Source organism: Homo sapiens, chromosome 4, assembly GCF_000001405.40.
Source record: "Homo sapiens chromosome 4, GRCh38.p14 Primary Assembly".
In the NCBI taxonomy this organism is placed as follows: Eukaryota; Metazoa; Chordata; class Mammalia; order Primates; family Hominidae; genus Homo; species Homo sapiens.
In genome coordinates this window covers 37,704,779-37,716,230 of record NC_000004.12, presented here as the reverse complement: position 1 = coordinate 37,716,230, position 11,452 = coordinate 37,704,779, and the positions used below count along the sequence as shown (strand labels likewise).

Genomic DNA, 11,452 nt, shown 5'->3' with positions numbered 1-11,452 from the left:
CACCTTGCTAAAAACATCACAGCCCCGCCAGGAGTCAGGTCAGCAGACAGCGTGGAGAACAGAGCCATTTGCTAGCCAGGGCATAGATTAGGAAAACTTTGTGGTCCAAATAATGTCATCATCCATAAACACCTATATTTTTATCTAAATTGCATTGCCAGGCATTTGGAAACCTGCCAACTTTTTGCAGCTGTTCCTTTCCTCACAAGAACAACTAGGTAATTTAAGTTAAATGACTCATTAGGAAAGGGAAGACGCAACTCAGGACTGTGCTGGTTCATTTCACAGTTTTTTTTGTTCATATAGATAAGAGGTGAGAAGTAGGATGGGGTTTTACAATTTGACTGCCTTTTGGCAGTTAAGAAAAATTTCAGTCCTGAATTATTTATGACATATAATGAGGCAAATAAGTTATTCTGGCTTCTTGATTTACTTAAAGTGACAATACAATTATTGTATTTACTCTCTAGTTGCTAAATGGCAAACTTGAAAAGTTCCTGACATCAAAAGAAAGTATCAGTTCTAATCAAGGCCAAATTGAAAAGTGGCTCATAGTTATTGAGGGCTATGTGCCAGGCACTTTTCTAAGGGCTATACAGTATTAGCCCATTCAATTCTCATGGCAGCTCCATGTGCTAGATATGATAATTTCCCATATTCCATGGATATGGAAAATGAAGGCCACAGAGATGTGGGGATCCAGAATTTCCACCAGTGGAATTGGATGCCAGAGCCTACCGTTGGAATCTTATGTTATACCATCTCTCCAGAAAATATAGGATTAAATGCTAAAATAGGATTAAATGCTAAAACTGATATTAAAAAGTAAGCCTAGAGATGGCTTACTCACGGCTGAAAGAGTTAAATAGGAAAAAAACCCTCAGGTTCTAGAGCTGGGGAGGATGGATGGTTCTTAGTGTCCGAGAGGAAGGGTTGGAGAACCAATCACTTCTGCAAAGAGAGAAAAGCCAGTTCCAAATTTCTTCCAATCCAAAAGATGCTCTTTCCCCGCCCCAAATCAGGGTAGGTGTAATAAATTTCCTCCTGCTGACACTGCAAGAGCAAATCCAGTAAAGTGATTGTGGGAAAAGTGGTAGTTGTGCAAGCATTTCACAAGGATTGTTTTTCATTGGAGGATAACAATCCTCCTTAGGCATTCAGTCAGTGAAGATGTTGAGATACTTCAGATGGAGAGAAATTCTACACAATAACATTAAAAGCCGGGATACAAGGGTGTTACCACAGCAAGGCTAACAAGCTGGAACCTGAATGGCAATGGAAGCTGAAAAGGGAATAGCAAATGATATACACCAAAGCATTTGTTTAAAGGGGCATGAAGATAAGCCTTCAACCACATCAGGTGAAAGATTTTTTCCATTCATTAGTATGGAAAACTTGGAATGAACATCAGAACTGGACAGAACGGTAGTTATGGCGGATATATAGGTAGTTCCATTAATATCCCCTCTGAGCACTTATTTCCTGCCAGACTTGCAACTGCCAGAATTTGCAACCCTTTTGCCTAAGCCCTAGGGCTTTCTTGGACATGCAAAGGTGCTAGAGAATTCACTGCAACCATCACTGCCCCACCACCTCTCTAACACAGCACATACCCATTGTCCAGTAGCCTCCAACCAATGGCTGGTAGGAGGTGGCAGATATGTATTCTAGCTCCCTTGCCTCTCACCAGGAAACTCAGATGTGCTCTTCACTGTCCCCCATAGGTCCCTGCAGGATTCATCTCTAGTTAGACCTAGTGGCAACTTGCTTGGAAATAGTCATTTATTGGTTTCCTATGTCACTTCCCTACTCCCCTATTGGCATTTCTTGGGATAACCTCCCCCATTAAGCCAGCTGTCTCTGTGTCTACTTAAATTAGGGCTTAGTAAACGATATGTAATTCTTATTCCATATTATGTGTTTAGTCCTAATTAGGTAGTCCAGGTGTTGTTCCTGCCAGCTAATACCTGAACTGAACGGACTGAACAAATGTCCTACCAATTCTTGTGCTTGGCATTGGGACAGGTCAGGTTGGTAAGCTGGTGTCTTCTGATACAGGCTGTTCTGTCTGGGTTGCCTCAGCTTACACAGCTAACCAAATGTTTCATAGCACTTAATTTAATTTTTCCCAATCATGAAGAAATGTTGCCAGAATTATTTAATCAGTTTGACTGTCAGCTCCAAGACAGCAAGAAACGCGTTCATCTTCTTCATAGCTATGATAGCCCAGTTACCAGAAAAGAAGGCCAGCACATATTTAAAATATATTAATGAATGAATTTTAACAAAAGAGTAATTTTTAAATGGTACACTGGCAACCCATTTGATGTAATTTATTAAACTGAGCTTCTTAATAAAGAAGTCTGATAAAGATGTATGTTTATCAAAGACAATGTGTGTCATTAGACTAGGTAATATGTACGAAAGCTATTAGCAAGATATGAGAACCAAATATAAAATTTTAAGCCCCCCAATCAACTAATGGACTCCTCTCTTGGCCAAGGGCATTCCAAAGTAAACCTGAAAAATGAGTTGAGGTCATGGTAGGAAGGGGAGTTAGACATGCCCCATTATACTCACCTCCCTTTGGAATTCAAGCACAACTGACCACCAGAATTAACGTTGAAACAGAGGTCTTAAGACTACAAAACAGACCTTTGTAGCAATAAGCCACCAAATTCCAACCTGACTCTAGTAGAGCATCGCATGACAGATAGCAGGCTCTGAAAGAAATATTTTCCCCCAAAATATATTTATTTGACATATTTTGAAATGGTCCTGCAAAGCTGTCTCTTATAGGGAAAATATATAACTGTATCTTTTTTTTTTTTTTTTTTTTGAGACAGAGTCTCGCTCTGTCGCCTGGGCTGGAGTGCAGTGGCATGATCTCAGCTCACTGCAAGCTCCGCCTCCCAGGTTCACGCCATTCTCCTGCCTCAGCCTCCCGAGTAGCTGGGACTACAGGCGCCCGCCACCATGCCCAGCTAATTTTTTTGTATTTTTAGTAGAGACAGGGTTTCACCGTGTTAGCCAGGCTGGTCTCGATCTCCTGACCTGGTGATCCCCCCGCCTCGGCTTCCCAAAGTGCTGGGATTACAGGGGTGAGCCACTACTCCCGGCCCTATAACTGTATCTATATCTATAGATTTAAATGTTTGAAAGATACTATTTCACACTACTTCTCTCCTGAATCAGGGAAAATACCTGGAAAGGGAAGGGGATTCTGGCAGCTTTTAGGTCTGATGAGAGCTCTGAAGCGTGCTACCTGGAGGCTTCATCTGTATGATAAAACCTTGGTCTCCACAACTCCTTATCTTAACCCAGAAACTTCTTTCTATTGAGTCCAGGTCTTTAGATAATAACTCTTTCAACCAAATGCCAATCAGAAAAATCTTTGAATCCACTTATGACCTGGATTCCCCCACCCCCTAATCTGCCACCAATTCAAGCTGTCCCACCTTTCTGGCCTGAACCAATGCACATCTTATATGTGTCGATTAATTTTATGTCTCCCTAAAAAATGTATAAAACCACACTGTAGCCAGACCACCTTGGGTACATGTTTTCTGCACATCCTGGGGCTGTGCCATGGTCCTCACCTTTGGCTCAGAATAAATCTCTTCAAATATTTTACAGAGTTCACTCTTCATCAGCAGGTAGTCGGCAATTACTATTGTTGGAACTACAATTAATGAATATGTGCTAATTGCCATATCATGTGTGCTCTTTTGAAAGACAGCATAGGTTTTGGTGTGAGACAGACATGGGTTCAGATTTCAACTGTGCCGTTTGCTAGCTGTGTATCTTGAGCAAATTTTCTGGCATAACAGAGTCCCAGATTTCTCATCTGTAAATTGGTCAATTCTACATTTCATCAAATCAAGTACACCATTACTTATAACAAAAACCATTATTTTATGCACCATGAAGAAGAAAAGGTGGCTAATTAAACTATGATAATATGCTTTCTTATCACATGCATTGTAAGAGATCCTTAATTCAGAAGTGTTAAAATATAAACAAATGTGTATCTTAGAGTCCATAAAACATAGAACAATAATTACCTTAATAGGTTATTCTTGTGTAGATTAAAATGGAAATAATGTATGTAAAGCATGTATAGAAAGTAACAAATATTACATTTCTTTTTCCTTTTATCTCCTTAGTTAAAAATGTAAATGTTTGAAAGACACTATTGTCACACTACTTAACCAAATAGATAAAAAGAAGTGTAAGAATACTACGAAAGTTGGTTGTTTGGAAAAGACAAAAGCTGTGCAAACAATTGAACCTTGAAGTGTAAGATAATTAATGAGCCAAAAACATAGGAGAAAAGAGCATTACACTCTTAAATGAGGAGAGAATCATACCTTAAACAGAATGAAAACAATGCAGATAAAAAAAGAAGAGTGCTTTTCAATTATGAAGACACTGGAAAATTAGCGAGTTGTTAAATAGAAACATCATACAGTTTAGGTTCCTGTACATTTTTCAGGAGTCTGAGCCAACTAATCGGAGCGGTGGTGTAATGAAGAAAAGAAGAAAGAGAAGGGAGTAAAATGTGAGAAGCATTCTCCTTAAAATCAGAATCAAAATAAAGATGCCACTGTTACTACTTTTAATCTACTCAACATTGTACTAGTGATCATAGCCAGAACAACACAGCAAAATTAGGTGAGCTATAAGGATTGGAAAAGAAAAAATAAAACTATAATTATTTGCAAGTAACATGATTAACTTTATAGAAATACAAATGACAACATAAAAATAAATTCTATTTCTATTCCAGCGACAGTTTAAAAAATAGTAAAAATACTTTTTTTTTTAATTTGAGACAGAGTTTTACTCTGTTGCCCAGGCTGGAGTGCAGTGGTGCGATCTTGGCTCACTGCAACCTCTGCCTCCTGAGTTCAAGCAATTCTCCTGCCTCAGCCTCTGGAGTAGCTGAAATTACAGGTATGCACCACCATGACTGGCTCATTTTTAAAATTTTTTATTTTTAGTAAAGATGGGGTTTCACCATGTTGGCCAGGCTGGTCTCGAACTCCTGGCCTCAAGTGATCTGCCTGCCTCGGCCTCCCGAAGTGCTGGGATTACAGGTATGAGCCACCCCACCTGGTGGTTAAAATACATTTTAAAAAAGAATTTACAATAGTCACAGAAAGAAAATTAAGGAACTTATGAATAAATCTAACAAAGCTGAGCAAATCCCTTAGAGATAAAAACTATAAAAACTGATTCAAAAAACCTAAAAGAAGACCTAAGTAAATGAGAGATTTATAATATTTGTGGAAAGGAACATATAATACTGTAAAGATTTCAGATTTCCCCACATTTGATCTGTATAAAACTCCAATTCCAATCAAAATTCCTATAGGCTTTTTACAAACATTGATAACCTTATCCTAAAACTTAAATGAATGAACAAATTTCCATGAATAGTTAAGATACTCTGGAAGAACAAAAAGTGTGGAAAATTGCTATCATAGATATGAAAACATATAAAGCTACAGTTACACAAGCATGTGGTGCTGGCACAGAAGAGATCAGTGGAACAGAACGGAAAGCTTGAGTACAGACAACACAAACATGGAAACTCAATATGTGGCTGTTGTAACAAGGAAGACAGATCAGTGGGCAAAAGGGTATTTCATCAATGGTACAACTGGTTTTTTAATGGGATAATTGTTTTATCATGTGGGAAAAAGTGAAAATTGAATCTCTTTCATAACAAACACAAAATCGGTTCCTGATACATTAGAGACCAAACTGTGAAAAGTAAAACTTAAAAAAAATTAGAAGAGAATATAAGAAAGTATCTTAATGATTTAGAATAGGAAAAATGTAAATAAGACACAAAATAAGATTAGTAAATAAGATACAAAAAACACACCTCAAAAACACAAGAAAAAAATCATGAATTGGTTGTAGTATAAAATTTTTCTTCAAGATACCAAGAAGCAAAAAGTAAAAAGAAAGATAGAAACTGAAAGAATATATTTGAAACACAAATGTATCTGACAAAGGATTAGCATTTAAATTAATAACAATGAACTCTTCTGAATAAACCTAAAAAGGACAAAATCTACGTATAAAATGGACAAAAGGGCCGGGTGTGGTGGCTCATGCCTGTAATCCTAGCACTTTGGGAGGCTGAGATGGGCAGATCACCTGAGACCAGCAGTTCGAGACCAGCCTGGCCAACATGGCAAAACCCCATTTCTACAAAAAATACAAAAAAATTAGCTGGGCATGGTGGCATGTGCCTGTAATCCCAGCTACTTGGGAGGCTGAGGCAGGAGAATCACTTGAACCCAGGAGGCGGAGGTCTCAGTGAGCCGAGATCACACCACTGCATTCAGCCTGGCTGACAGAGTAAGACTCTGTCTCAATAAAATAATAAAATAAAATAAAATAAAATAAAATAGAATAAAATAAAATGGACAAAAGACTTGAAGAGGCATTTCAGAAGAAGAAATATATATGGCCAGTAAACATATGAAAAGATACTCAACCTCAATACTAGCCAAGGAAATACGATTTAAAACCACGTTGGTGAACTGACTGTACGAATGATCCCAACTTTTCATACCTCCCTGTGCCTAAACTCTGGTAGTTCCTTCCCTCACTAACTGTAGACTTGACCAAATCCAACATGATAATAGCAAACTTATTGCAAGCAGATCTTGTACAAGCACTTTATGTGTTTCTGCTCTTTCTTTTGCTCTTCTGCCTTAGAATGAGAACAAGTCTGTACTGTCTGTCCTACTGGAGAATGAGAGACCCATGGAACAGAGCTCAAACATGAGGCCATCCTAGACCAGCCAGCCCATTGCTAACCTGACAACTCTCTGTAAGTCATGAGCGGCTCAGGTGAGATCAGCAGAGCCTGGCCCAGATGAGCAGAACCGTGCATCATACCCCAGGCCAATGAGAAATATTAAATGGTTGTTTAAGCCACTAAGTTGTGGAGTAGTTAATATGTAACAGTGACTAACTGATACAGATACTATTTTACACCCACTAGACTGGCAAAATTAAGAAGTCTGACAACACCAAGAGTCAGTGAAGACATAAAACAGTGGAAACTCCTAACGCACTTGTAGTACAAACTGACACAACCACTTAGGAAAATAATTTACCATTCACTACCTTATAAGATCAAAACGCCTCATGGCCTAGCAGTTTTATTCCTCTGTGTGTGTGTGGGCACATGTGTATCTTTAAAAATGCATATTCCGTAGCTCACACCTGTAATCCCAGCACTTTGGGAGGCTGAGGCAGGCAGGTCATGAGGTCAGGAGATGGAGACCATCCTGGCTAACATGGTCAAACCCCATCTCCACTAAAAATACAAAAAAATTAGATGGGCATGGTGTGGGCACCTGTAGTCCCAGCTACTCGGGAGGCTGAGGCAGGAGAATGGCGTGAACCCAGGAGGCGAAGCTCGCAGTGAGCCGATATTGCGCCACTGCACTCCAGCCTGGGCGATAGACTGAGACTCCATCTCAAAATAAATAAATAAATAAATGCATATTCCACTTATATATGTATCTGTACATATATATGTAGCTGTACATATATATGTAGCTGTACATATACGTATCTGTACATATATAGGTGTACATATACGTATCTGTACATATATAGGTGTACATATACATATCTGTACATATATGGGTGTATATACGTATCTGTACATATATGGGTGTATATACGTATCTGTACATATATGGGTGTATATACGTATCTGTACATATATGGGTGTATGTATCTGTACATATGTATGTGTATGTATCTGTACATATGTGTGTATACACGTATCTGTACATATGTGTGTATATACGTATCTGTACATATATGCGTATATAAGTATCTGTACATATATGTGTATATATGTATCTGCACATATATGTGTATATACGTATCTGCACATATATGTGTGTATATACGTATCTGTGCATATGTGTGTATATGTATCTGTACACATATGTGTGTATATGTATCTGTACACATATGTGTGTATATGTATCTGTACACATATGTGTGTATATATGTATCTGTACACATATGTGTGTATATATGTATCTGTACACATATGTGTGTATATATGTATATGTACTATATGTGTGTATAAATGTATGTGTACATATATGTGTGTATATGTATGTGTACATATATGTGTGTATGTATGTGTACATATAAGTGTGTATATATGTATGTGTACATATAAGTGTGTATATATGTATGTGTACATGTGTATATGTATATGTACATATATGTGTGTATATGTATATGTACATATGTGTGTGTATGTATCTGTACATATATATGTGTGTGTGTATATATATATATGAATGCAGTGCTGCTGGACTCCTATTAACTTCAGTAGGGATGGCACCAGTTTTGAGAGGCTGAAGAAGAGACGCGAAGCCAGTGAACAAGACATAAAGTTTTATGAGACTGGCAAACTGCCTACAGTGCTAATGAAGCACCTAGACATAGGGTTTTATTAGGGGGAACTTACATATAGGGATGGTCCAGTGGCATTGTGCTAGACAGAACTGCAACCACTTGTAAAAGCATGCAGTTTATAAAGTGTCTTAGCATCCTCCACGCCAGCAACCTCCACGTGGCAACCCCGACTTCTTCAGCTAAATTATCACTGTCAGGCGCATCTGCCACACAGGGTATGTTTAAGTTATTGCTGTCAGGTGTACCTACCATACAACTGTTCATAACAACACTGTTTATAAAAGCAAAAAATGCACACAATCCATGTGTCTCATATCATGAAGGATAAATAATTTGTAGTAGTTACATAAAATGGAATAGTGAAGGTGAATAAACTAAAGAAAAATGTTTCAATGCGGGTTAATCTTACAAACATAATGTTGAGTGAAAAAGCAAGTGGCAGAAGAATACAAGCAGTAGGATGCTATCTACATAAAGTTCAAAAGGTACAAAACTAAATATAGCATTTAAAAATACATGCAAATGTTGTAAAATTATAACAAAAATATTATCACAAAATTCAGTGTGGTGAATACATTGGGAGAAGTTAGAGAGACTGCAAAAGTTTTGGTGGGCTGGACGCAGTGTCTCATGCCTGTAATCCCAGCACTTTGGGAAGCTGAATCAGGAGGAGTGCTTGAGGCCAGGAGTTTGAGACCAGCCTGGCCAACATAGTGAGACCCTGTCTCTATTTTTTTTAAAAAAAAGGTTTGGAAATATTCTGCTTCTTCGGCTGGGTTAGTAGGTACACATATATTAATTTTATTATTCTTTATCTTTTATATGCTATATATTCATACCAAAGAATCTGTTTATCTGTCTGAGGATGTATTCTTTTGAAATTTTTTTTGAAAGCAAAAGAAAGGGAGAGTTGGAAGCATATCTCTATTGCTGTGTCCTCATCATTGCTGTCAAGTATATAGGGCAGACTCCTGCGGATCTTGCTAACTCTCTATTTCTTTGATATTCTCACCAGAGAACGAGCATAGGCGCGTGCTTTTGTCCTGCTGTGGTTTTTTTCCCTCAAAATCAAGTGTCTAAAATCATTTTAAGCACATGAGCTTTTATTGTGACTCCGTATGATGCTTTCTGAGCACATGAGTAGGGTGCTGTTTCCTGTACTGACACTGATGTGGAAAAATGGGTAATCACTTACTAGCTGGGAGGATGAACGTAAAGAGACAATGTGTATCACACACAGGAGAGGTACAACTCTCCCAAGTGTCCAGGTTACTTCCTGAGGTAGGGGAGTCCAGCTTTTTCAGAGGTTAAGGTTGCTTTTAACTTGCAATCTATTGATTGGTATCTATCCTAAGCCTTGGACTCTACTGGATAATTACGGTACAAGCGCATTTAAGTACATGCCCAAGCTAATTGAAAACATATGTCCACACAGAAACTTGTACACAAATGTTCACAGCAACATTATTCATAATAGCTAAAATATGGAAACAACATAAATGTCCATCAACTGATGAATAGACACAGAAAACATGGTATGTCCATTCAGTCATAAAAAGAAATGAAGTACTGATACATGCTACAGCATGCAAGAACCTTGAAAACATTGTGCTGAGTGAAAGAAGCCAGATACAAAAGGCCACAAATTGATTCCATTTATATGAAGTGAATGTCCAGAATAGGAAAACTGATAGTAATAGAAAGTCGATTAGTGATTTCCAGGTGCTGAGGGGTGGGGGATGATGGGAATAAATGCTAATGAATGCAGACTTTCTTTTTGGGGTGATGAAAATGTTCTGGAATCAGATAGTAGTGATGGTTGCACAGTTTTGTGAATATGCTGAAAACCACTGAATTGTATACTTTAAAGATTTATGGTTTGTGAATTATACTTAAAAGAAAAAGCTAATATATTCAGTTAAAAGATAAGATAGTGGTTATTTATGACGGTGGAGCTGAGTGACTGGAATAGAGAAGGAAAGGACTTTGGAGTGCTAGACATGTTCTAGTTCTTGATCCAGGTGTTGGTTATATGGCTGTGTTCATTTTGAGTTTGAGCCGTGTACATAGGCTGCATTTTTGGATTTACATATTGTCACGGGTTCAACTGTGTTGCTCGAAAAGATATGTTCAAGTCCTAACCCCTAGTGCCTTAGAATGTGACCTTCTTTAGAAACGAGATCATTGCAGATATAATTAATTAAGATTAGATCACACTGGAGTAGGGTGGACCCTTAATTCAATTTGATCTGTCATCTTTATAAAAAGAGAAGAGACACTGACACACAAGGAGTACAGTCACATGAAGATGGAGGCAGAGTGGAGTTACACCACCCCAAGCCAAGGAACACCTGGGGCTGCCAGAACCTGGAAGAGGCTTGGAAGATTCTCCTAGAAGATTCAGAGGGAGCATGACCCTGCCAAGACCATGATTTTAGACTTCTATTCTCCAAAACTGTGATATAATAAATTTGTTTTAAGCTACCCAGTTTGTGGTATTTTGTTACAGCAACTCTAAGAAACTAAAACCGATTTTGGGCCAGGCATGGTGCCTCATGCCTGTAATCCCAGCACTTTGGGAGGCCGAGGCAGACAGATTACCTGAGGTCAGGAGTTCGAGACCAGCCTGGCCAACATGGTGAAATCTCATCTCTATAAAAAAATACAAAAATGAGCCGGATGTGGTGGTGGGTGCCTGTAATCCCAGCTACTCAGGAGGCTGAGGCACAAGGATCACTTGGACCCGGGAGGTGGAGGTTGCAGTGAGCCGTGATTGCGCCATTGCACTCTAGCTTGGGCAAGGGTGAAACTCCATCTCAAAAAATAAAAGTAAAATAAAATAAAAGATATTTTGGTACTGGGAAGTGGAGTGCTTCTGTAACAAATACATAAAAATGTGGAAGTAGCTTTAGAATTGGATAATTGGTAGAGGTCTCAAGAATTTTGAGATCCTTGATGCAAAGGAAACGTAGATCCC

General features: G+C 38.5%; 1 long non-coding RNA gene across 1 annotated transcript; it reads left to right on the top strand.

Moving 5' to 3' along the window:
- The first annotated feature begins 1,144 nt into the window (after positions 1 to 1,144).
- Positions 1,145 to 10,822, top strand: LOC105374404 (uncharacterized). The gene is made up of 4 exons (XR_925210.1): positions 1,145 to 1,360; positions 4,167 to 4,674; positions 6,739 to 6,853; positions 10,744 to 10,822. It is a non-coding gene; the product is annotated as an uncharacterized LOC105374404 (long non-coding RNA).
- Positions 10,823 to 11,452: the final 630 nt, after the last annotated feature.